The sequence below is a fragment of the Homo sapiens genome, chromosome 4 (genome assembly GCF_000001405.40).
Source record: "Homo sapiens chromosome 4, GRCh38.p14 Primary Assembly".
In the NCBI taxonomy this organism is placed as follows: Eukaryota; Metazoa; Chordata; class Mammalia; order Primates; family Hominidae; genus Homo; species Homo sapiens.
The window spans coordinates 2,904,040-2,930,181 of record NC_000004.12 but is presented as its reverse complement, the minus strand read 5'-3'; the positions used below and the strand labels follow the sequence as shown (position 1 = coordinate 2,930,181).

Here is a 26,142-nt window from a genome sequence, read left to right as displayed (position 1 = left end):
TGGCTGCAGGTGACATTTTATCAAGACATGAACATTAGGAGGTCTCTTTTCAGCACGAGACAAACATGGGAACAAAGAAATTAAAATATAAAACTGCTTCCCAGATTTAGACAAGGAACTTGCTGAAAGAATTTTATTTGTGAGTAAAACATGTTACACTGGAGAAAGGACATTCAGGACCTGTCCTCCCAAGTCGGTGTCCATATATGCAACTATATTTCATGTTGTAATACAAAGGATTAAACTACAAAAGTGAAAATTAAAAGTCATTGCATATGTGGGGTAAAGGAGGGGATAAAGGAAGAGTCCACGGTTAAGGACTTTTCATTCTGCCTTGGCAACAAAACGACACAGAAGAGAGGCAGCACGCTTGCCCGCGTAGCAGGCCCTGCGGCTCAGAGGAAGCTGGAAGCGGCGGTCAGTGCCATGCAGCAGCCTGGTTCTCGCTCGGCTGGCCAATCAGTGGGATCCGAGGTGGCTCGGCCCATCATGCCCAGGATCTGAGCCCACATCTGGCACCAGCTCTACCAAGGGCCTGTTGGGCCCACACAAGCTTGCCTGTACCTAGTCAGGCTGGTACCGGCACCTCCTGAAATGGGTCACCCTCCGGTTCCTGCTCAGCAGCTCTGAGCCCTTTTCCAGCCTCTTGGAGGGAAGTAACAACAACAGCATCTGCCGAGGAGCACACGGTTCAGGCTCCATCAATGACGGTGATGTCGAGGGGCCCCAGGGCTACCCTCCACCTCGAGTTACCTTTGATCACAACTAGGGCATCTTTCTGGCTGAGTTAAGGTGAGAACAGTCCCCTGAAGCCTCCCCCAAATAAGTGAAAAGTGCTCTACTGTGGGGTCTGGAAAGAAGAAAGCAAAAAGCAGCCTATTCACGTTCACAGTCGAAAAATGTAAGCTAAATTGTAAACCTGCTCAAAGAAAATTCTAGAAAGGCCTCTTCCCCTCCTGATATACCTTCCCTATGACAGGAATCCAGAGACCCAAGTGAAAAAGAAACTGAGCTCCTGAATCTGATTCTGGTCGAGGGATCGTCGGTCAGACATGCATAGCATCACGTTGGGTGCACACAGGCCCATCTGCCGCTGGGGTTTCCTGCCCAGCATCTGGCCCAGACCTGCCTCTTCAAGGCCGCTGGTGGGCACACGAGTGTTTTCACGGGACCAAGGCTTTGTATATAGATTTAAGTGAGATCACTGAGCAGAGAGAATGCCACATGAAGCCAGGAGTCTGAGTCCGTCACCTGAGACTTTAGGGTGGAGGGGAAGCCAAGCAGAGACAGAATGTGGTGATTTCACAACAGGAGGGACGGCAGGAAAGGTGAGGCTCAGGAGGGTGACGTGCAGCCAAAGCTGCAGAAGCCTTCAGTACCTTCCAGCCAGGACCATGACTTAGTGCCTCCCCCCTGTGGGGAGAGCATGTCTCCCCCAGAAGCTGAGGCTCTGAGAGGACAAGGGGCAGGGTGGGGTGGGGCTGCTGAGCACACACTGGGTCAGCCCGGGGCTACACGGGGCTGGTCACGTGAGGGGACCTCTAGGCGGAGGGCTTGGCTTTTTTGCATTCCATTACACAAGGACAGAGCACAGACGTGGCCGGGGACGCTGGCAGAGCCAGGGTCGCTCCGGACAGGACAGTGTTAGCGCAGGGCTTTCAGGAGTCACTCTTCTTCTTGCTCTTCTTCAGAAAGGACGGGGTACGGAACTTCTTCTTCTTTTTGGACGGGGACTTGCCTGGAGACCCATCGCTGCCAGGGTCCGCGGCGGCCCCCTCCTCGACAGCTGAGGGGGCAGCCTCTTCAGCCACCGGGGCTGGGTCTGGGGCTGGCTCGGGGCTGGCCTCAGTAGGGGCCTCAGTGGGGCTTGGGGGTCTATGGGCTTCCTCCTCCTTCTCTAACATTGGGAAGCCGAGTGCTTCTGAAGGTTCATCAGGGGACAGATCGGGGAGAGTTGGCTTAAAGGTGGCAGCATCACTGTCATCTCCAGTAGTCGGCTCCGGCACAAGGTCTAGTGGGTGAGGTGAGAGATGGGATTAAGGGTTCCTGCCCAGATCTCAAAGGGCAGCTTGAGATGGGGGAGCCCCACACACGAAACTGCCATTTTATTTTACTCTACAGATTTTTACCAAGACAAGAAACTTAAAATATGGTCTACTCTACTGTACGGCTGGATGGAGCTAATATCATAAAATACAGACTCAGTCTCGGGGTAGTTTTTAGCTCCTTCTGGTGGGCAGTGTGCTGACAACACCAGACTCCGTCCCAGGCCTGGGTCCCCCCGCCGGAAAGACAGACTGCAGCACAAGCTGAGGACGACTAAAGGAGCGACGTCCCGCTTTCATTATGTGACGAGAAGTCTGCCCTGTCACCCTAAGGGCATGTACTAGTAGTACTGAAATTAAGTCTAAATTTGGGTCTACAACACCTGGTCTCCCCCAAAACAGCCAGTAGAAAATCGTGCATAACTCCCACAGCACGTTGTGTGACGTCAACATCCAAAAGAACAAAGCCGTTTAGGCTGGAAGTTAATTAAAAGGAAAGAGATGGCCTGTAAGGCAAGGAGTGGGGGCAAAAACTCCACCCAGCATCAGGAGTGGCCATCTGTGAAGGAGCACAGCGGCCCTGAGGACACAGCCTGGGGGCGCCTTCCTTGCACTTACCCGGGCACCCGCTCTGTCCATTCGTAAACGGCCTACAAAGTTACCAGCAACTGACAGGTTAGGCACCACAAGCTGTTTAGTGTTTAAAAATCAAGCCACACATCAGGGCCAGGGGAGTCAGCTGAGTGGTTAGGAGCAGCACAGGAGGCCCAGGCCCCAAACTCTCAGTGCTTTACCTTTGGGAAGCTGGAAGCACCCCCACCCTGCCAGCTGCCCCAGGCTAATTCCAGGCCACGCTTCATGAGAACCGGGAAAGGGCTATGGGCACACAGGCGCCGCTCCCCCTGAGGAGATGGGGCCCGCTCTGCTGGGCATGGTGTGGCTGATGCTAGGACGGAGGCTGCCCCAGGGCACTCGCTCTGGAGAGCTGCCATCATCTGAGTGAACATCACACTGCTTTACGAGGGTCCAATATCCGCTCCTCTGCCCACCTCCTTTGGACCAGCTTCAGCAAAGGTCCAAGGCAATCTGACCCCACACGGCAGGTGGCAGAACCCCACCCTGTCTGAACCGAGGCTGCACTTACATCTGATCCAGTGTGGCAAAACCCTCCCACCAAGCAATCCAAAGAGACCCTCAAAGGCTGGAGGTAGGAACTCCTGAGGCCCAGAGTGCTCCATGGCACCTAGGTGCGTGGAGGTACCCGCTGCCGCTGAAGGCAGCACAGCACTCAGGTGACTGAACCACTTCCAGGAAGGCCTCCAAGGGACTGGGTACAAAAAAGGGGGGCTTCTGTTTTTATTTTAAATAAACAGAAAACAAAACTTAATAAACAACAAAGAAGCAGGAGAATGAGGCAAAGCGCAGGGCACCGGTGGAGAGCGGAGGCAGCACGGTACTTACTAGGGTAACAGGTACTCTCTAGCGCATCCGTCTCCTGCTTGTGACGCAGCCACAGGGAGAAAAAAGCACAAGGAGAGAATCTATGCATTCAGTCACAGCCATCAGGTTACAGAAGAAGAAAGGCAGGGCCACGGGCTTCACGAGAGACATGGATGTACGAGACCGAGGGACAGACACCCGGGATCACACACCACAGACACACGGTGGCTGAGAGGCAGCCGGCGTGTGGCTCACACAGCGGAGGGCACCTCCGAAGGTGGCATCTGCATGACAACACGGCACGAGGAGTGTGCGAGCAATGGGCAACGTGGACACCAGCAACCATGGTGGGTTCCGACCCCCGAGGCCGGCCTTCCTACCTGGTCACAGCTCACATACAAATCTGTTTTGCCTGGAGTTACCCAGGACAGAAGCAATATAGGAGGAGAAAGGTGTCACGTCCTGGCGCTGATGCAAGCACACACTTCCGTGTTGCTGTTAACACGACTCCCGCCACATTCCGCCACAGCGCGCACGAGCCGTGCACCCTCCCACAGTGGCGGCCGCTGCCACCCAGAGCTCACCTTCCTCCAGCTTGATGGGAGTGCTGGGAGGCGGGTGGGGGACCGCAGGCTGGTCTGGAGGACTCTTTTCTTTCTGTTCTCTAGCCTCGTCCAGATTCTCTGCAGAGAAGCAAGAAGGATATGGTAGGAGCTGTGGACGCCACGCCATGAGCCTGTACCTGCCTCCATGGCAGATGGGGCAGCCCGCTCGGCCGCCCTCTGAGAAGGCAGGGCTCTCTCAACCCTTTCCCTGATCCTCTCCAAGAGAGGATAAAGGAAGCTGTGACCTGGGTGTTGACTGATGCGAATTTCAGAGAAACTTAACCAACTTCAGATACAAAACTTATTTCTATTCTTATTCCAAAGAGAGTCTGCCAGAGCCACTTCTGTGATGGACTCGAATGGTATGCCCTGGCCTGTCCCCCGCTGTCCTGTGCGAGTAGGGACCCCTCCCTCCCTGCCTTCTCCCTGCTGAGCAGGTGGCTGAGGGTCCTGAACCCACTCACCACCTTAAGGGACATCACATGAGCATTATTTTGGTTTTAATTCTGTGGTAGGGCATTTTATCCCAATAATTTAAACTTGGCAACTGTAATACGTATTTTTACTTTTTAAAGTGAAAAATGCTAATAAGAACCAGAGGAAAAAATGCAGGAACTAGGATCCTGGATATAGAAAAGGATTCCAAGTCTACTTCTCATTTCGGGGAAAATATGGACCAGCACTATTCTAACTCCTTCCATCTCTGTCTTTATTTCAGAAGTTTAAGATTAATAGCTTAGGATCAGCAGGTCCGTATTTTGAACCAGCAGCTATCATCATCCTTCTGAGCTCCCAGGGCCTCTGCTCCCACCCTAACAGCTGGCTCGCCTCCCCAAGTACCACGTTGGCAGCTACCTTCCAGAAGCCAGGTGTCCATAAAAAGGCCGCCATACCACCTAGCTGAGTGAGCATACAGCCTCAACCGGGAAAAGGTGCTGACCTCTGGCAGCCAGCCTGCATTTTACCTGTGGCACATTCTCCCCTCAGCCCATGCCAAGGGCCAGATCAGACCTCCTGTGGGTTCTCCTGCTGACAGCTCTGTGATCACAGAGCACGGCCAGAGCCTGTCCCCATCCACTCAGCTGCCATCACAGCCCTGCTGAAGGAGCCTCACACATCGGGGGGAAACTCCACATATCTTGTTTGACTTGTTTTTAAAAACAATCCAGGTTACTCAGATCCCAGGAGACTCCAAAGGGCAGACACATGTCTGTGTACATGTGCACAGAAACTAGGAGGAGGCCACATGACCCACAGCTCAAGCTGACTACCTCCAGTTCTCGCTCTAAGGCAGGTAATTACAGCAATGGCTCAGACAAAGCTTCACTGGAGGGAGACAACCAGCAGCAGGGCCTGGTGTGTGTGGCGGCCTGAATAGTAAATAGCGGTGTGACACTGAAAAACAATTCAGCAACTCAAATTTCAGTCACAACTACGTAATGCAGTGGCTGGTCTAGAACGAGACAAAAACCGGTGAAGAGGTCCTCTTAGGAGGAGTGCCTAGCTCCCAGGATGACGACGGCCCAGGAGAGCAACAGTCAGTCCCACACAACAAGGTGGCTCCAGCAAGGCTGACCCCGGAGGACTGAGAAGCACACTGAGGTTTCAGTAAAAACCTGAGTTGGAGCTTACGGCCCTGAGGATGCTGGCGGGAGCCTCCTGGCAGGGGTCCCTGTGCCCCTGGTTCTTCTTGGTGCCAGCACCAAGGCTGCTCAGAGCCTAGTGGACAAGAGAGCTGGCAGCAGGGAGCTTGGGGGAAAAGCAGCTGATGCCCAAAAGCCCTCAAGGAATAGGCTTTGGAGACCTGCTTCTCTCATTAGTTCTCAACATTTCCTTTTCAAAGCCTGACATTTGAAACCACCTGCTCCGTGAGGGTCTCAAACTTGAGCCGCTTATTTGTATTCATTTTAAGACTGCCCCATCTTTGACAAAAACAAGACCGCCTTTGTCAGCGGGCTACCAAGAGAAGTACAGGCTGCACCAGCCATTCCTGATGGGACCTGGGCACATGCCAGGGCAGTCAGCATTTTCACCCTCCGGCCTGTGACCACACCTGCACAGGAAACCCTCAAGGTTTATGGAGAAAGAGAATTTCTGTCAGAAACCCCAAGCCCTACACACAAGCACAGTAAGGACGTTCAGAGCGTCCCCCTGCACAGAGGCCGGGGCTGACTGCTGTGACCAAAGACTCAGTGAGGAAGGCAGTGCGCTTCTGTCCAAATCAGGGCTCGGCCACGCACAACCTCGTTCTCGCGAGCCGCCCTGTCTGAGCTCCCTATTCCTCTGCTCCAGCCGGGGGAAAATGACCTATCTCTCAGGGTTACTTTGAGAATGAGATGAGATGTACGCACAATAGCACTGGGCATGTGCCCGGCACAATGACTGCTCAGCAATGCTGAGTGTTAATGAATCAAACTGAGTAAAGGAGGTCTCTCCCCGGTGAAGCTTCAACAGACAGAAATACTGTGTTCGTAAAGAGACAAATGTCAGGGTGACAGGCAACATGGCCGAATAGGAACAGCTCCGATCTGCAGCTCCCAGTGAGATCAACGCAGAAGGTGGATGATTTCTGCATTTCCAACTGAGGTACCTGGCTCATCTCCCTGGGACTGGTTAGACAGTGGGTGCAGCCCACGGAGGGCGAGCCAAAGCAGGGTGGGGTGTTGCCTCACCCAGGAAGTGCAAGGAGTCGGGGAACTCCCTCATCTAGCCAAGGGAAGCCATGAGGGACTGTGGCTTGAGAAACAGTGCATTCCAGCTCAAATACTACGCTTTTCCCACGGTCTTCGCAATCCACAGACCAGGAAATTCCCTTGGCTGCCCATGACACCAGGACCCTGGGTTTCAAGCACAAAACTGGGCAGCCGTTTCGGCAGACACTGAGCTAGCTGCAGGAGTTTTTTCTGATACCCCAGTGGCGCCTGGAATGCCAGCAAGACAGAACCCTTCACACCCCTGGAAAGGGGGCTGAAGCCAGGGAGCCAAGTGGTCTTGCTCAGCAGATCCCACCCCCATGGAGCCCAGCAAGCTAAGATCCACTGGCTTGAAATTCTTGCTGCCAGCACAGCAGTCTGAAGTCGACCTGGGATGCTGGAGCTTGGTGGGGGGAGGGGCATCCACCATTACTGAGGCTTGAGTAGGCCATTTTCCCCTCACAGTGTAAACAAAGCTGCCAGGAAGTTCACACTGGGCAGAGCCCACCGCAGCTATGCAAAGCCACTGTAGCCAGACTGCCTCTCTAGATTCCTCCTCCCTGGGCGGGGCATCTCTGAAAGAAAGGCAGCAGCCCCAGTCAGGGGCTTATAGATAAAAGTCCCATCTCCCTGGGACAGAGCACCTGGGGGAAGGGTTGGCTGTGGGCACAACTTCAGCAGACTGAAGTTACTACCTGCTGGCTCTGAAGAGAGCGGTGGATCTCCCAGCACAGCACTCAAGCTCTGCTGAGGGACAGACAGCCAACTCAAGTGGGTCCCTGACCCCTGTGCCTCCTGACTGGGAGACACCTCCCGGCAGGGGTCAACAGACACCTCATATAGGAGAGCTCCAGCTGGCATCTGGCAGGTGCCCCTCTGGGACGAAACTTCCAGAGGAAGGAACAGGCAGCGATCTTTGCTGTTCTGCAGCCTCTGCTGGTGATACCCAGGCAAACAGGGCCTGGAGTCGACCTCCAGCAAACTCCAACAGACCTGCAGCAGAGGAGCCTGTCTGTTAGAAGGAAAACTAACAAACAGAAAGGGATAGCATCAACATCAACAAAAAGGACATCCACATGAAAACGCCATCTGAAGGTCACCAACATCAAGGACCAAACGTAGATAAATCCACAAAGACGAGGAAAAACCAGTGCAAAAAGGCTGAAATTTCCAAAAACCAGAATGCCTCTTCTCCTCCAAAGGATCACAACTCCTCACCAGCAAGGGAACAAAACTGGACAGAGAATGAGTTTGATGAACTGACAGAAGTAGACTTCAGAAGGTGGGTAATAACAAACTCCTCTGAGCTAAAGGAGCATGTTCTAACCCAATGCAAGGAGGCTAAGAACCTTGAAAAAAGATTAGAGGAATTGCCAACTAGAATAACCAGTGTAGAGAAGAACATAAATGATCTGATGGAGCTGAAAAACACAGCATGAGAACTTCGTGAGGCATACACAAGCATCAATAGCCAAATCAATCAAGCAGAAGAAAGGATATATCAGAGATTGAAGATCAACTTAATGAAATAAAGTGTAAAGATTAAAAGAAAAAAGAATGAAAAGGAATGAACAAAGCCTCCAAGAAATATGGGACTATGTGAAAAGACCAAAGCTACATTTGATTGGTGTGCCTGAAAGTGACAGGCAGAATGAAACCAAGGTGGAAAACACTCTTCAGGATATTATCCAGGAGAACTTCCCCAACCTAGCAAGACAGGCCAACATTCAAATTCACGAAATACAGAAACACCACAGAGATACTCCTCAAGAAGAGCAACCCCAAGACACATAATCATCAGATTCACCAAGGTTGAAATGAAGGAAAAAATGTTAAGGGCAGCCAGAGAGAAAGGTTGGGTTACCCACAAAGGGAAGCCCATCAGACTAACAGCAGATCTCTCTGCAGAAACCCTACAAGCCAGAAGAGAGTGGGGGCCAATATTCAACATTCTTAAAGAAAAGAATTTTCGGCCGGGTGCAGTGGCTCACGCCTGTAATCCCAGCACTTTGGGAGGCTGAGGCGGGCAGATCATGAGGACAAGAGATCGAGACCATCCTGGCTAACATGGTGAAACCCCATCTCTACTAAAAATACAAAAAAATTAGCTGGGCATGCTGGCGTGCACCTGTAGTCCCAGCTGCTGGGGAGGCTGAGGCAGGAGAATGGTGTGAACCCTGGAGGCGGAGCTTGCAGTGAGCCGAGATCACGCCACTGCACTCCAGCCTGGGTGACAGAGCAAGACTCCGTCTCAAAAAAAAAAGAATTTTCAGCCCAGAATTTCATATCCAGCCAAACTAAGCTTCGTAAGTGAAGGAGAAATAAACTCCTTTACAGACAAGCAAATGCTGAGAGATTTTCTCACCACCAGGCCTGCCTTACAATAGCACCTGAAGCAAGCACTAAATATGGAGAGCAAAAACCAGTTCCACCCACTGCAAAAACATACCAAATTGTAAAGACCATCGACACTATGAAGAAACTGCATCAGTTAACAGGCAAAATAACCAGCCAGCATCATAATGACAGGATCAAATTCACACATAGCAATATTAACCTTAAATGTAAATGGGCAAAATGCCCCAATTAAAAGACACAGACTGGCAAACTGGATAAAGAGTCAAGACCTGTCACTGTGCTGTATTCAGGAGACCTGTCTCACATGCGAAGATATGCACTGGCTCAAAATAAAGGGATAGAAGAATATTTACCAAGCAAAAGAAAAGCAAAAAAAAAAAAAAGCAGGAGTTGCAATCCTAGTCTCTAATAAAACAGACTTTAAGCCAACAAAAATTTAAAAAGACAAAGCAGGGCATTACATAATGGTAAAGGGATCAATGCAACAACAAGAACTAACTATCTTAAATATACAAGCACCCAATACAGGAGCACCCAGATTCATAAAGCAAGTTCTTAGAGACCTACAAACAGACTCAGACTCCCACACAATAATAGTGAGAAATTTTAACATCCCACTTTCAATATTAGATCAACGAGACAGAAAATTAACAAAGATATTCAGGACTTGAACTCAGCTCTGGACCATGCGGACCTAACAGACATCTACAGAACTCTCCACCCCAAATCAACAGAATATACATTCTTCTCAGCACCACATCGCACTTATTCTAAAATTGACCACCTAATTGGAAGTAAAACACTCCTCAGCAAGAGAATGGAAATCATAACAAACAGTCTCTCAGACCACAGTGCAATTAAATTAGAACTCAGGATTAAGAAACTCACTCAAAACTGCGTAACTACATGGAAACTGAATAGCCTACTCCTAAATGACTACTGGGTAAATAACAAAATTCACGCAGAAATAAATAAGTTCTTTGAAAACAATGAGAACAAAGACAAAGCGTACCAGAATCTCTGGGACACAGCTAAAGCAGTGTTTAGAGGGAAATTTATAGCACTAAATGCCCACAGGAGAAAGAGGGAAAGATCTAAAATAGACATCCTAACATCATAATTAAAAGAATTAGAGAAGAAAGAGCAAACAAATTCAAAAGCTAGCAGAAGACAAGAAATAACTAAGACGAGTGCAGAACTGAAGGAGAGAGACACAAAAAAGCCTTCAAAAAAAAATCAATGAATCCAGGAGCTGGTTTTTTTTAAAGATTGATAAAATAGATAGACCATTTAGCCAGACTAATAAAAAAGAAAAGAGAGAAGAATCAAATAGACACAATAAAAAATGATAAAGGGGAGATCACCACTGATCCCACAGAAATACGAACTACCATCAGAGAATACTATGAACACTTCTACGCAAATAAACTAGAAAATCTAGAAGAAATGGATAAATTCCTGGATACATACACCCTCCCAAGACTAAACCAGGAGGAAGTCAAACCCCTGAATAGACCAGTAACAAGCTCTGATATTGAGGTAGTAATAAATAGCCTACCAACCAAAAAAAGCCCAGGACCAGACGGATTCACAGCCAGATTCTACCAGAGGTACAGAAAGGAGCTGGTAGGTACCATTCCATCTGAAACTATTACAAACAATAGAAAAAGAGGGACTCCTCCCTAACTCATTGTATGAGGCCAGCATCATCCTGATACCAAAACCTGGCAGAGACACAACAAAAAAAGAAAATTTCAGGCCAATATCCCTGATGAACATCAATGCAAAAATCCTCAATGAAATACTGGCAAACCGAATCCAGCAGCACATCAAAAAGCTTATCCACCACGATCAAGTTGGCTTCATCCCTGGGATGCAAGGCTGGTTCAACATATGCAAATCAACCAGGTGCGGTGGCTCACACCTGTAATCCCAGTAGTTTGGGAGGCTGAGGCAGGTGGATCACAAGGTCAGGAGATCGAGACCATCCTGGCCAACATGGTGAAACCCCGCCTCTAATAAAAATACAAAAATTAACCGGGTGTGGTGGCGTGTGTCTGTAGTCTCAAGTACTCAGGAGGCTGAGGCTTGAACACAGGAGGTGGAGGTTGCAGTGAACCAAGATTGCACCACTGCACTCTAGCTTGGGTGACAGAGGGAGACTCCGTCTCAGGAAAGAAAAAAAAAAAAACCAAATAACAAAAAAACCATATGCAAATCAATAAACGTAATCCATCGTATAAATAGAACCAATGACAAAAACCACATGATTATCTCAATAGACGCAGAAAAAGCCTTCAATAAAATTCAACACCCCTTCATGCTAAAAACTCTCAATAAACTAGGTATTGATGGAATGTATCTCAAAATAATAAGAGCTATTTATGACAAACCCACAGCCAATATCATACTGAATGGGCAAAGGCTGGAAGCATTCCCTTTGAAAACTGGCACAAGACAAGGATGCCCTCTCTCACCACTCGTATTCAACATACTATTAGAAGTTCTGGCCACGGCAATCAGGCAAGAGAAAAAAATATAGTGTATTCAAATAGGAAGAGAGGAAGTCAAATTGTCTCTGTTTTCAGATGACATGATTGTATATTTGGAAAACCCCATCATCTCAGCCCAAAATCTCCTTAAGCTGATAAGCAACTTCAGCAAAGTCTCAAGATACAAAATCAACTGCAAAAATCACAAGCATTCCTACACACCAATAATTGACAAAGAGTCAAATCATGAGTGAACTCCCATTCACAATTGCTACAAAGAGAATAAAATACCTGGGAATACAACTTACAAGGGATGTGAAAGACCTCTTCGAGGAGAACTACAAACCACTGCTCAGCGAAATAGGACACAAACAAATAGAAAAACATTCCATGCTCATGGATACAAAGAATCAGTATTGTGAAAACGGCCATACTGCCCAAAGTAATTTATAGATTCAATGCTATGCCCATCAAGCTACCACTGACTTTCTTCACAGAATTAGAAAAAACTACTTCAAATTTCATATGGAACCAAAAAAGAGCCCGTATGGCCAAGACAATCCTAAGCAAAAAGAACAAAGCTGTAGGCATCACACTACCTGACTTCAAACTATACTACAAGGCTACAGTAACCAAAACAGCACGGTACTGGTACCAAAACAGATATAGAGACCAACGGAACAGAACAGAGGCCTCAGAAATAATGCCAGACATCTACAACCATCTGATCTTTGACAAACTGGACAAAAACAAGGAATGGGAAAAGGATTCCCTATTTAATAAATGGTGTTAGGAAAACTGGATAGCCATATGCATAAAACTGAAACTGGACCCCTTCCTTACACCTCATACAAAAATTAACTCAAGAGGGGTTAAACATAAGACCTAAAACCATAAAAATCCTAGAAGAAAACCTAGGCAATACCATTCAGGACATAGGCATGGGCAAAGACTTCATGACTAAAACACCAAAAGCAATGGCAACAAAAGCCAAAACTGACAAATGGGATCTAATTAAACTAAAGAGCTTCTGCACACCAGAAGAAACTATCATCAGAATGAAAAGGGAATCTACAGAATGGGAGAAAATTTTTGCAATCTATCCATCTGACAAAGGGCTCATATCCACGATCTACAAGGAACTTAAACAAGTTTACAAGAAAAAAACAATGCCATCAAAAAGCAGACGAAGGATATAAACAGACACTTCTCAAAAGAAGACATTTATGTAGCCAACAAACATGAAAAAAAAGCTCATCATCACTGGTCATTAGAGAAATGCAAATCAAAACCACAATGAGATACCATCTCACACCAGTTACAGTGGCGATCATTAAAAAGCGAGGAAACAACAGAAGCTGGAGAGGATGTGGAGAAATAGGAACACTTTTACACTGTTGGTGGGAGTGTAAATTAGTTCAACCATTGTGGAAGGCAGTGTGGCGATTCCTCAAGAATCTAAAACCAGAAATACCATTTGACCCAGCAATCCCGTTACTGGGTATATAACCAAAGGATTATAAACATTCTATGATAAAGACACATGCACACATATGTGTACTGCACCACTATGCACAATACGAAAGAGTTGGAAACAACTCAAATGCCCAGCAATGATAGACTGGACAAAGAAAATGTGGCACATATACACCATGGAATACTATGCAATCATAAAAAAGGATGAGTTCATGTCCTTTGCAGGGATATGGATGAAGCTGGAAACCATCATTCTCAGCAAACTAACACAGGAACAGAAAACCAAACACTGCATGTTCTCACTCATAAGTGGGGATTGAACAATTAGAACACATGGACACAGGGAAGGGGACATCACACACCAGGGCCTGTCAGGGGTGTGGGGCTAGGGGAAGGATAGCATCAGGAGAAATACCTAATGTAGATGATGGGTGCCACCCATACATGTGCCACCACCACGGCACGTGTATACCTATGTAACAAACCTGCACGTTCTGTACATGTATCCCAAAACTTAAAGTATAATTAATTTAAAAAAAAGAGAGAGAGAGACAAAAGTCTCTTAAAAATAATATTCAGGGCCGGGCGCAGTGGCTCACACCTGTAATGACAGCACTTTGGGAGGCCAAGGCGGGCGGATCACGAGTTCAAGACATTGAGACCGTCCTGGCCAACATGGTGAAACCCCATCTCTACTAAAAATACAAAAATTAGCTGGGCATGGTGGTGCATGCCTGTAGTCCCAGCTACTCGGGAGGCTGAGGCAGGAGAATTGCTTGAACCCAGGAGGCGGAGATTGCAGTGAGCTGAGATCGTGCCACTGCACTCCAGCCTGGCGACAGAGCAAGACTTCATCTCAAAAATAATAATAATAATAATAATAATAATAATAATAATAATAATAATAATATGCATGCTGGCTTTCCCACTAACTGATCCAAATTAGTGAATTCTTTTGTGAATGTCTGGTCACTCCATGTGGACAGAAACCTCCCTGGGAGAAGGACCAATGCCCTCCAGCCCAGAGTTCTGTGGGTTGCCCCTCGGTCCTGCTGTCTCCTCTCATCACAGCTGCTGGATGGGACCACGGCAGGACATCTTCGGGGTCAGCCTCGTTTTGGCAGAGGGGCCCCGGTGTGTCTTAGTATGGCGCGCAGACTCTTGTGAGTGGCCACCACTAGTCCTCCACATCGTCATTTACACACGTCTCCCTCCTAGCCAGGGCCACTCACAAGTGTGCCTAACTTTGCAATTTCTTTTTTTTTGAGATGCCCAGGCTAGAGTGCAATGGCACGATCTCGGCTCACCGCAACCTCCGCCCCCCGGGTTCAAGCGATTCTCCTGACTCAGCCTTCCCGAGTAGCTGGGATTACAGGCATGCGCCACTACACCTGGCTAATTTTGTATTTGTATGTATTTATGTATTTATTTTGAGACAGAGTCTCACTCTGTCGCCCAGGCTGGAGTGCCGTGGTGCAATCTCGGCTCACTGAAAGCCCTGCCTTCCACGTTCACGCCATTCTCCTGCCTCAGCCTCCCAAGTAGCTGGGACTACAGGTGCCTGCCACCACATCCGGCTAATTTTTTTTCTATTTTCCTAGAGACGGCGTTTCATCGTATTAGCCAGGATGGTCTCGATCTCCTGACCTCGTGATCCGCCCGCCTCGGCCTCCCAAAGTGCTGGGATTATAGGCGTGAGCCACCATGCCCAGCCTAATTTTGTATTTTTGGTAGAGATGGGGTTTCTCCATGTTGGTCAGGTTGGTCTCGAACTCCCGACCTCAGGTCATCCGCCCTCCTTGGCCTCCCAAAGTGCTGGATTAAAGGCATGAACCACTGTGCCCGGCCAGCAATTTCTTCCATTCTGGCCTGAGTGACTAGGTTGGAAATGAGTACTGGATAAAGTTCTGGTTTGTCTTTGATGCATGTGACTATTCTTATCACCACCCACAGCCAGCACCTGGACCACAAAGAAGCTCCCAGAGCACTTTCACCTTCTGGAGTGGCCGTGCCCAGGACCACAAGCACTCACCTTCAGAGCCCTTCTGCTTCCTCTCCACCTCCCTGCGGTACTCCTCCAGCTCACGGTCTGTGAGTGTGGTGAAGGGGTTGGGGCCCGTGGTGCTCACAATGACGTGGGGCTGGTACTCCTTTTCAATGATGGCCTTGGAGGCCGTCACCAGCTCTCCCTGTGGATGAAAGGCACATCTGGTCTGCAGGAGCCCGGCCCGATGGGGACTCTCCCTCCTCCCAGGCAGGCTGCAGGCAGGGCGGGGGCAGGAGGCTTTCCAGGAGCAGAGACCCCTGAGACTGCACTGCCATGGGCCCGAGGCCTAGGCTGAGCTGCAGCCTTCAGTGGTATATAATGGAAACACAGGTCAGTGCCACGATGAACAGATATTAACCACAAAAGAAATCCTACAGAGCCTTCCAGGTTTCAGAAGCAAAAGCCCAATGCAGACCCAAGAGCACAGAGCACCTCAGGGAGGGTGCCCACTCCTCACTGTGGAGCAGAAGGGGAAGAGGCCCTTTCCTGTTACTGTTTAAAAGTCAGTAAGTTTTCCTCATGACATCAGAAACTGTCACGAGGTACAGCACTCAGCGTAAGGCATGCTCAGAGCTTTGCTCATATTCTAAGAGCACAGGTAAGTTCTGTTCTTTTGACTGTGGTTAGTTTGTAACTAGTTCCTGGAGCTTATCCCAAAACATTCCGAGATGACAACATGCCCCAAGACACCAGTGTTTAGCTGAGGAATTTGGAAAACTCTGAAAATTTGTACCAAAGAAAAAAAGAAGAAAGCGAAGCACCAAGGCGGCTCACAGACCACACCAATCTTAAAGCAGGAGGTGGAGCCTGCAGGCCAGCACAGTGGGCTGGGTGGGCATCAGGGGGTGCGGTCCACTCACAGCCACCTGCCCCAGCACAGCGCTGTGCCCACAGTGCAGCCTGATTGGGTCAGGGGCAGGAAAATGTCCCCTAATTCCCTGGAGCTCACTTCTTTTTTTTTTTTTTTGAGACGGAGTCTCGCACTGTCACCCAGGCTGGAGTGTAGTGGCGCAATCTCGGCTCGCTGCAAGCTCCACCTCCCAGGTTCACTCCATTCTCCTGCCTCAGCCTCCCGAGTAGCTGGGACTACAGGCGCCCGCCACCACGCCCGGCTACCCTGGAGCTCACTTCTAAGACAGTTATCCAGCACTTACACACATGCACATGACTGACAGCTTCCAAAACCAAATAGAAACAGGAGAAACCACAATTCTTTGGATGCCAGGCCTGGTCCTTCAGTGCTGCTCTCAGTGCGGAGTGAACACCAGAGATGGAGAGCGTCCTAGCTGGGCTGACTCGGGAAATTCAACTCACACAGGCCGACCGCTCCTCAAGCAGAGACAGGGGAACTTGGACTGACTGGGATGGGCTGAGGGGTTACCACCTAGCATGCTGCGTACCCAGTGCTGACCAGTGACACAGAGCTCCGAGAGGGACAGATGGGCTGCTGGAACAGGCAACCTTTGCCCGGGAGCCTGGAGACTCTCGACAGTCAACAAGTCAAAGGGAACCCTCTTCTGAACCAGGTCTGACTCGAGGCCCATTGGCTTTTCGTTAAGAAGTTGCCCTGCCTCACCAAGACAGGAAGCTGAGTCCTGTCTGCCATGTCTTAGCGCTGTGGCCCGAGCCAAGTCTTTCCCTGACCAGAGGCCTGCCTCACTATCTGAAGGAGGAGCTGCTGGGCTGGCCACTGCTAAGAGCCCTCACATGATGGCACTCTAGAGATGGTATCCCAGCAACAGCAGTTTGGCTGGCTGCACCTGCATCCTGATATCACTGCCAATGAAATGAGAAGGTGATACAAGAGAAATGCTTAAGTTCATTTAAATCAAGTGGTTAAAATTAGTAAAGGAATCAAATATCAAGAATCAACTATCAGGCCAGGCATGGTGGCTCACACCTGTAATCCCAGCACTTTGGGAAGCTGAGGCGGGTGGATCACCTGAGGTCAGGAGTTCAAGACCACCCTGGCCAACACAGCGAAAACCTGTCTCTACTAAAAATACAAAAAAAATTAACCAGGCGTGGTAGTGGGCATCTGTAATCCCAGGTACTCGGGAAGCTGAGGCAAAGGAATCACCTGAACGTGGGAGGCGGAGGTTGAGGTGAGCCGAGATTGCGCCACTGCACTCCAACCTGGGCAACAGAGCAAGACTCCGTCTCAAACAAAACAAACAAACAAACAAAGAATAAACTATCAGCCAGGCACCACAGCTCATGCTTATAATCCCAGCACTTTGGGAGGCCAAGGCAGAAGGATTGCTTGAGCCCAGGAGTTCGAGACCAGCCTGGGCAACATAGTGAGACCTTGTCTCTACAAAAAATTTAAAAATTAGCCAAGCATGGTGGCATGCACCTGTAGTCCCAGCTGCTGAGGAGGCTGAGGTGGGAGGATTCTTTTGGCCTGAGAGGTCGAGGCTGCAGTGAGCTGTGATTGCACTACTGCACTCCAGCATGGGCCAGAGTAAGATGCTGTCTCAAAATAAAAATAAAAATACAAATAAAAATCCATTGGCACAGAGACATCAAAACCCTTGTTCCCAATTTTGATGCCCCAAAGGACAAGCGGGGCTCTCTCATACTGAGACAGCTGAAGCCCGAGGCACAGCGCAGCAGGTCCCCAGTGGTGGAGAGCTCCCTCCTCCACAGACCACAGCTAAGGGTTAAGCTGCTGTCAAGACCAGTTATGGGAACAGAGAATCACATTCCTCTGCAAGAAAGGACACAGAGCAATGACTGAGATGCAGAGAAACATACGCCACTCATGGACAACCCAGACAAGAAACCAAGATGTGCCTAGCTTCCCCTCCTGCCACTCCCCTCACCTCCCTGTCACTTGACAAGCCTCTAAAGCAAAACACAGGCCCAGTAACTTTCCATACTTGACTGAGGCAACCTGGGTGGAACAAGAGCTCCACCCGAGGCTGTGCAACCTGCACTAGCGGCTGACCTCTCTGACCATCAGATTTTCATCTACGAGCAGGGCCAACTTGGATCTGGACTGGCATTCCCAGTGCTGGACCATGCACAGGTTAGGTGCTCAACACAGGTCACTGAGAGAGTCCAAGGGGTGAGCTTACTGCCCCTCTGCATTTCTACCACACAGCATGAAGGGTGTTGGAGAACACAGCCCCTGGTGAGGTGCACATGGGAACACAAGAGTCCTTCCCTGGGCTGAATAGCTTGCAGTGTAGACTCACATCTTCATCTCTAATCCTTCATTTCACTTGCAATTGAATCCAGAGGGCAGCCAAAATTATTTCAGGTTATGCCAGGCGCGGTGGCTCACACCCTATAATCCCAGCATTTTGGGAGGCTGAGTCAGGTGGACTGCTTGAGCTCAGGAGTTTGAGACCAGCCTGGGCAACGTGGCGGAACCCAGTCTCTACAAAAAAATACAAAAATTTAGCCAGGTGTGGTGATGTGCACCTGTAGTCCCAGCTACTCAGGAGGCTGAGATGGGAGGAGGGAGGACTGCTTGAGCCCGGGAGGCGGAGGTTGCAGTGGGCCAAGACAGCCCGACCACACTCCAGCCTGGACAACAGAGTGAGACCCTGTCTCAAAAAAAAAAAAAAAATATATATATATATATATGTATTTCAGGTTACATGTTATGCTGCCCAAAACAAAGTCAACACAGCCTTCGGCTGGGCTGCGAACTCCTGTTTGAACTGTGATTACTGTTCCTTCTTCTATCAGAAGGCAACACTTGCACTGTGGGAATGGCCATCACCAGTGAGGGAGAAATGGAAGGCAAAGGAAAGTCCTTTCCAGAAAAGCCCCAGCTCCCTAAGTCCCAAATACCCATTCTTCAGGTTCTCAGATGGGAAGCAGGCATCCACGCACTCGCCTCACTGGGGAGGGGAGTGTGTGGGACACAGTCGTCCTTGCTTGGTCAAGGAAAAACTCAACTTCTCAACATGCAGCTCCATGTTCCAAAAGGAGCAAGACTGTCTGTGCTTTGAGGTTCACATGAAAGGAAGTGGAACAATTGCCCAGTAAAGGACTCCCATGGAGCCAAAGCACATTCTCACCAAAAAGAGGGATATTTTAGCCAGAGTGGGATAAAGATCAAGGGTGCAAAAGTAAACTTCAGATATAAGGAGGTAGAGAAAACACAAAGGTGGAACAAGGATTTCTGTCCAGGTGGTCAAGCTCTCTTCCTCTGGGGTCAGCGTACAGTGGTATTCTCTGCTAATGACACCTGGATGCAGCACTCGCAGTGAGCATGGTGTTCAGAAGGTACGGACCCTACCTCTATCGTTCAGGAAGCCCCCAGGTGACAGTGACACACACCCACATCTGAATATCACTGGGACAGAGCACACAAAGCTGTAACTGGTGGTTGAACACGGCGACCCAGGCTGCTTTCTGGAGAGCCCTAACAAGGTCCTCAGTGCTGCCCTCACGTGGGCTCTACACAGGAGGCCAGCTGGGCTCATGGCCTGCACAGCCCTCACACACCTGAGAGAAAGAATAACTGACAAGACCGCAACAAAGTGCCAAAAGATGAAAAACAAGCAACAGGCAGAGTCATCTTTCTCCCCTGCTCTGAGAAGCTCTTCCAAGAATGGCAGCTGGAAGGATGCTCTAAGCACAGGGAAAAACAGGACCTGTGGAATTAATAAGTAAATATGCAAAATAATGTTATTAGCAGGGATTACAGACAGGAATACAGAATCTTTGCTATAAACCTGCTTCTATGTGGGAACTGGAACACCACTAAAGTGACACATGCATCTCAATGAAGGTGTGACAAGTGAAAGAGACAGTTCTGGAAATTTCCTTTGACAAGAATATAAACATACCTCTCAGCTAAGACTCTTCAACCATGCGGTCAGCCCCTTTCTGCGTGGCACCAACTCCTGCACACTAGCAGCCTAGATTCTTAGGGAGGATTTCCTTCTACGTGGGTGGGTTCAGACAGATCTTCCACCTACTCCACATACTAGATGCCCGCACACAGAGGGAATCACAGTGAGGGGTTTCAGACTCTCCTAAGTCTTTCTCCTCTGTGGCATTTAAAAATGTTATTTAGGGTTTTTTTTTTTTTTTTTGAGGTACAAATAAATACATTTTATCAAGGGCTGACAAAGACTGTCTGAATTCCCATTCCTCTGAAATGACATCTTTCAATGATATGACCTCTAGTGGCTACATTCATGACATTTACAGTCAAAGTTGAACCAGCGAGGGTGGAAGGGCACTCGGGAGTGGCCGCTGCCAACAGCAACAGACTGCCCAGAAGAGGCTGTCTGCAGTCAGAGTCATGGAAAAGGCAAATTCTGAAACCCAAAACACGCACTGACCAAAGTCCCGTGCGGAACTGCAGAAATGCACCACGTTGCTCAGACTGGCCATTTCTCAGTAACAACTTCGAATGCTGGAAATTGTTATCACACCTCATAGCAAATGTTTTAATTAAAGAATCAAGTAGGTAGAACAGAACCTTCTGTACAATCTCACAAACAGGTTAAAGATCCATTTGAAGCTACTTCAGTAACTAAGACAATGCCTGAAGAGAGGAGACGGGGAGGGGGGAGGGGAGGGGAGCAAGGCGCATAGACAGGTAGTGAGGACAGGGCAGTGAGTACCTTTCTAAAAGAGAGAGATTTAGCGGGACTAAAGGTCTGCTCTGTAAGCTCGAGCCCTTCGATAGTTTCCGTACAGTCAGAGAGAGGTGCATCCTGAAACAGTAAACTGAGTCACCAGAGCACACCAGGCCCAGCCTGTGAAATATCAGCTGAGAGCACAGGATGGAGCTGGCTAAGAGCATGCAGCAGGGACAGCTGTCAACAGTAAGTGTGGCAGTGATGATGGCAGGACGTGCAGACACTGAACACGAAACCAGGACCACGGCTGGACAAATCCAACAATCGTCTACCCCTGCAGAGTCAGGTGTTAAAGCATTAGGTGGCATATTAGTTTTCAGAGATAACTACTTACACAATTATCTTCAATGTGCCACAAGGTAGAGTCATTTTGTAGAAATGTGTGTAAATGTGCACCACACTTACAGGCACCCACCCCTCTGCAACCCAAGCAGCACTTTGTTGCAGACAGCAATATGTACCAGAACAAGAGTCCCTAAACCCACCCTCTCCTAGCGCCTTACACAGAACGCTGCTGAACCCGGGCCGAATCTGAGCCCCAAAGCTGGTGGTGTATGTGCCACCCTCACATATGCATGCATTACAAGGGGCATGACCAGAGGGGTGGACACAGCCCTCAGCATGCTCGCTCCTTCTAGAACTCAACGAAAAGTGCCTGAACCGTTTCTCATCATGAAGGTTTTAACAAAGGTAACTGGTTGCCTAGAATACTTACCTCATAAAGTCACTCTCTCAATTTCAGAATAACTTTGGAGCAGGCGGTCACACAGCCACCACCCACTAAAGTCAGAGACACTCTGGGCTCTCACCTGGACGAGGCTCCTGTCCATCACTACACCACACAAAACCTGGGACTGAGGGCCAGCCGTCTTAATGTCCTGTAAATTCTGCTCTCGGATCTGAGGGTGGGAAGGAGAGGCACACATCAACAGTCCTGAGCAGCCATGCTGCCTGGGAGCCCTGCTGCTTGTGCACTTGGGCCCCAGCCACATGGAAGCTACATTTCAGCTCTCCCACTGCCCCACGCAGGCAGGATGGCCCCATGTGTTCTGAGTGACCGCCATGCCTGCTTAGTGGGGCGTGGGTCTGCAGGGATGGAGACTATTCCCAGCTCCCCACATCTTCCAGATGCTTGGGCAGGACACCTATCTCTCACTGTCATTAACTTGGGGGAAACACTCGCTGCATGTCCATCGTCTAGTGATGTGAGCACTGGCAGGGCTCCTGCTCTGATACACCAAATGCCACTCACAAGTCTTTGAACGAACCCTGAAAGGGACAGCAGTCTGCTCTTGCTAAGAACAGGTTTTGCAGCTTCCAATTCTGACCGGTGAGCAAACATCGTGAGCAAACATCAGTTCAAGAATCAATAGGGCCCAAAAAATGTCTGCTGCTCATACTTCACACTGGTGGTAGAACAGCAGCGGTGTGAAGAGATGGCTTCACTGCAACAGTGGCAACAACAGCAGATGCCCTCTGCTAGAAGCAAGCACCCGCTCCCCCCAAAGCAGCTGGCATCCCTTCCAATCCCACACCCAAGCCCCCGCTGAGTGCCGACGCAGGACGCACCTTGTTCCTCATCTCCTGGACCTCTTTTGGGTTAGTGTTCAATGGAACAAACAGGTTAGGGACAGCAGAGGTGGAAGTTCTATGTCCATCCTCTTTAGTCCACTGTAATATCAAGAACAGTTGAAAAGTCAGAATTATGACAACAATAAGTGACATAGCATCCAATCTATTCAGTTTATCTCACATCTGGTCATGCACTGAACATCACAGAGAGGACTGAACCAATGACCACATCTAATCTGGGTCACTCAGCAGAGTCGCCATGGGAGCAGGATGCAGCCACATAAAGACCAGTTAATGCTGGAAGTCAAAGTCATGACTGATGGAAAACCACCATCTGGAAAGCCCAGCTGAATCTGGGTCATAAGGTAGGCTGACGACAGAGCTGAGCCCCATAACCCTGGGACCAGCAGGGGAGGCCCCTCAGAGACCATTGGTTCACTGCTCTGAAAATCATCCAACACCAAAGCCAACTGGAAGCATGAGATGACAGGGTCATGAAAAGCAATGTGATGCTGCTACCCAGGGTTAGGGAGGAGCCTGCACCGTGAGGCAAGAGTGGGCATCACCAAAGTTTTGCATTAAAGTAAATGACAGCATCAGAATGCACTGTCTGCGTAACTTTCAACCCAAGAACATTACTGTATGGACACTTACACGGTAGCTACCTGGAAGAAGAGTTTGGTGATGTCGAATATTTTATATAACTTAATATTTTTGAGTGCTACAAAAATATCCCAAACAAACTTGAAGCGCTTCATGAGTCCTTAATATTTAAAGGCTGTTTTAGTATCAGTGCATCTCGTCAGCATGCTGAGCCTTCCACCCATAATTTTTTTTTGGATCTCCAATCAAATCTGAGATTTTTAATCAAATTCTAAGGCATGAGTAGGCACTGAACATTAAAACAAGCCCATCTTCGAGAGCAAATGTTATGCCTTTCAGAATACTTTCGAGAGGCAATAAGATAGCCATAAACCATACGACTTTAAAAAAAGCAACAAAACCAGCAAATGCTGAGCCACTGCGAGGAGAGTGTGGAATGGGCATGGAGCTCTGGGTACTCACTGATGGTTATCTTCTCAGATAAAAACAACTCCAGCGTTTTATTAAAAATAATTTTTAGTCAAAGCATTTCAAACAGCAACCTCAGAAACTTGAACACATTTGAAAAAGTAACAGCAATCATTATAAATGAAAAGATACCAACCTGGGAGCACTGCATGGACTCTGTCACTCCAGAACAGTAAGAAACAAATATAAATGCGGAGCAAGGCCTCCCCTTGGATGTACACATTGACTACTAGGCCTAAAGTGACTTAGTTGTTTTGCAAGCTAATGGTAAATAAAGCTCGCGCTGCTGCCTAAACGCTTTGGAAAACTTCCTCATGGCAATTCAGCACTGTGCTTCACATCAGCCGCAGAAAGGTGTTTTGGGGTTTTTTTTTTTTGTTTTATAACGCCCACTTCCTTTAACAAGTGAAACAAGTAAAAAATAAACAAATGAAAGAAAAGGGGAGACAGGAAGAAGGGGGGAAAGAAGACAAGGAGGGCAGGAAAGAAGAGGAGAGACGCACTCCCATGCTCAGAGCCCCATGGCCACACAGGGTCCCTGCCCAGGTGACGCGGCCGCTCAGGAGCACGGAGGCTTCTCACCAACTGCGTCAGGAAAACACCAGGACCACCTGGGGAAGATAAAACTTTTTTTCTTTAAATAAATCTATAAAGTAAAACACTGTTACAAGGGGAAAAGAAAGCCCCACTTTATGTATTTGGTTGCCCATGGTTTTAGGAGCATCTAATCTAATTTCAACTGAACTCCTAATGAACTAGTCATGCACAGATGAGTCTGCTTCAGCCCCTGTCTCCTCCATTCCAGGGGCTTCTGGAAATGGGCCTCTTCTACATACAGTTTAAAGCAGAGCTGGGTGGACTGTTAGAGGTAGGTTACAGGAGGAATAAAGACCCATCTTCAGAGGAGGTCTCAGCACCACGACATGGGAGCACCTCTCAGGACAAACGATAACTTGAGCGGCATTAACGCTGAAACGAAGCACCCCTTGCAGCGTCTGTCGCTGGTGCCTGCAGATGGCCTGCGCTGCACTTGGGTCATGCCGCACCCAACAGGAGTCAGAAGGTGACTCGCCACTATGGCCGTCTACTCACATGCAACAGTCCATGCAGAGGGCAGCTGGGGGTGTGCATTCGGAGGCTTTGGGATAGAAAGCAGGGGAATAACACTAAGGGCAGGGGACAAGAGTCAGCAGAGAACACGCCAGGGAGCCACAAGGGAAAACTGCTTAAGAAAACACTGAAGACTTAAGAAACTTTAGTGACTTGAAACCACTGGAGTTCACAACACTAAAATACAGGTTTAGGACTGAAGTGTCTTTTTGTGCATGAAGTATTAAGAGTCCCTGAATATAATTTGAATTAAATAAGAAGAGCTCCTATTTGTAGGTTAATACATGTAAATTATTGTATATTTTTGCTATATACGGAGATATACTGGAACTACTGCGGAGTTACATTACATCTTAAGCAGTTTCAAGCAGATAGTATTATCCGAATTTTAGTAATGCATTCAGTGGACTTAGGTTCAGACTACAAGAAAGTGAATAAGGAAGGTTCGCTTTACACCTGGGTCAGAAAGGCTGGATTCCCAAAGCCTCCGAAGCCCCAGCTACCCAACTTGCTCTACGTCATCTAACTATGAACAGTAAGGTAGGCACAGACCAAGCAGTTGGTAATACAGCTTGGCACGCAGACACCGGACGAGAGAGACTGCAGCAAGGGTTTCACGTGATCGTGTGTAATGTTCGTCCACACCTTAGTCTTCGACTTGGGACTGCTTCCATTCTGCCCTTCCTCGGAAGCTTCGTCGCCCCGGCCAGAGTTCAGCCATCTTGTCTTCTCCCGCTGCTGCTTCTGAAAACTGTGTCTGAGTGGGGAGCAAGTGCCCGAATCACCGTCACTAGCAAAGGAGTAACCTGTGACACTAGCAGGAACCTCCACATCGCTGTATTTTTTAGACTTCTCTCTCAGAGCAGGGTATCGATAAGGGTAGCCAGTTCTGTAGCCCTAGGGTCCAAGGAGAGTGAAAGACAGTCAATATTCCAGATCTCAAAACAGGGTTTCACTTTGGAAAATCATGTGGAAACATCCACAAAAGTTGAACACATGCATACCCTATGACTCAGTAATTCCACTCCTAATTTTACACCCCACAGAAGCAAATGTGTTCACCAAAAACCAGGTACTAAAATGTGGACAGCAACCCTACTCCTCGTAAACCACAATTGGAAACAACCCAAAAGTCCATCCATATAGGAGATGGATAGTCTAGTGTCTTCATAAGAAGGCTTATAGTGACACAATGTGCTCTAAACCAACCACGTGGATGACTCTCCTGAAGGCAACGCTGAGTGAAAGAGACCAACCTGCAAAGAACATACACCATGTAATACCATTCATTAAAAGTGCAGAAGATGCAAAACAACCTTTGTTTTGGTTGTCCTGGGAGACAGGACAGTTGTCACCCCTGGGATGGGACAAGTGAACTGAAGGAGGTGCTGGGGGTGTTCTGAGGTGCTGCTACCGTTGCTCTTATTGACTGCTGGTTATACAGGGGGTTCAGTTTTTAAAAATGAACAAACTGAACACTTGCGGTAGGTGCACTCTCCTGCTTACATATTTCAACAAAAAATTAAAGTTGAACACCCAAACAGGGTTTACTTGCTGCCAGCCACTGTGCAGGTTATATTCATCAACATACTTAATAGACTTTTACCTCTTAAGTTACAGT

The 26,142-nt window shown here is 48.5% G+C and overlaps 1 protein-coding gene across 24 annotated transcripts in view, besides 5 other annotated features; it reads right to left on the bottom strand.

Moving 5' to 3' along the window:
* Positions 120-26,142, bottom strand: part of ADD1 (adducin 1) — an 86,219-nt gene continuing 60,196 nt past the window's right edge. For 6 of the 24 annotated variants that reach the window (NM_001354761.2, XM_047449580.1, XM_047449581.1 and 3 more), the window contains 7 exons: positions 25,074-25,418; positions 22,338-22,439; positions 21,578-21,667; positions 20,751-20,843; positions 15,142-15,298; positions 4,070-4,168; positions 120-2,011 (listed from right to left, as the gene is read on the bottom strand). In NM_001354761.2, the coding sequence (NP_001341690.1) occupies positions 1,659-2,011; positions 4,070-4,168; positions 15,142-15,298; positions 20,751-20,843; positions 21,578-21,667; positions 22,338-22,439; positions 25,074-25,418 (1,239 nt within the window). In that variant the 3' untranslated portion in view covers positions 120-1,658. Of the gene's footprint in view, positions 2,012-3,506; positions 3,541-4,069; positions 4,169-15,141; positions 15,299-20,750; positions 20,844-21,577; positions 21,668-22,337; positions 22,440-25,073; positions 25,419-26,142 lie in introns of all 24 variants that reach the window. The other 18 variants (NM_001354757.2, NM_014190.4, NM_001354758.2 and 15 more) reach the window with 7 other exon arrangements.
* Positions 3,517-4,032: an enhancer, noted in NCBI's record as "H3K4me1 hESC enhancer chr4:2927877-2928392 (GRCh37/hg19 assembly coordinates)". NCBI's record gives its function as "activates a minimal SCP1, AML or CMV promoter by ChIP-STARR-seq in naive H9 embryonic stem cells {active_cell/tissue: H9 hESC(naive)}" and the evidence as "EXISTENCE:reporter gene assay evidence [ECO:0000049][PMID:30033119]".
* Positions 5,449-6,344: an enhancer, noted in NCBI's record as "NANOG-H3K27ac-H3K4me1 hESC enhancer chr4:2925565-2926460 (GRCh37/hg19 assembly coordinates)". NCBI's record gives its function as "activates a minimal SCP1, AML or CMV promoter by ChIP-STARR-seq in primed H9 embryonic stem cells {active_cell/tissue: H9 hESC(primed)}" and the evidence as "EXISTENCE:reporter gene assay evidence [ECO:0000049][PMID:30033119]".
* Positions 6,345-7,240: an enhancer, noted in NCBI's record as "OCT4-NANOG-H3K27ac-H3K4me1 hESC enhancer chr4:2924669-2925564 (GRCh37/hg19 assembly coordinates)". NCBI's record gives its function as "activates a minimal SCP1, AML or CMV promoter by ChIP-STARR-seq in naive H9 embryonic stem cells {active_cell/tissue: H9 hESC(naive)}" and the evidence as "EXISTENCE:reporter gene assay evidence [ECO:0000049][PMID:30033119]".
* Positions 7,241-8,138: an enhancer, noted in NCBI's record as "OCT4-NANOG-H3K27ac-H3K4me1 hESC enhancer chr4:2923771-2924668 (GRCh37/hg19 assembly coordinates)". NCBI's record gives its function as "activates a minimal SCP1, AML or CMV promoter by ChIP-STARR-seq in naive H9 embryonic stem cells {active_cell/tissue: H9 hESC(naive)}" and the evidence as "EXISTENCE:reporter gene assay evidence [ECO:0000049][PMID:30033119]".
* Positions 15,426-15,495: an enhancer, noted in NCBI's record as "active region_21198". NCBI's record gives its function as "activates an Ori minimal core promoter by ATAC-STARR-seq in GM12878 lymphoblastoid cells {active_cell/tissue: GM12878}" and the evidence as "EXISTENCE:reporter gene assay evidence [ECO:0000049][PMID:35858748]".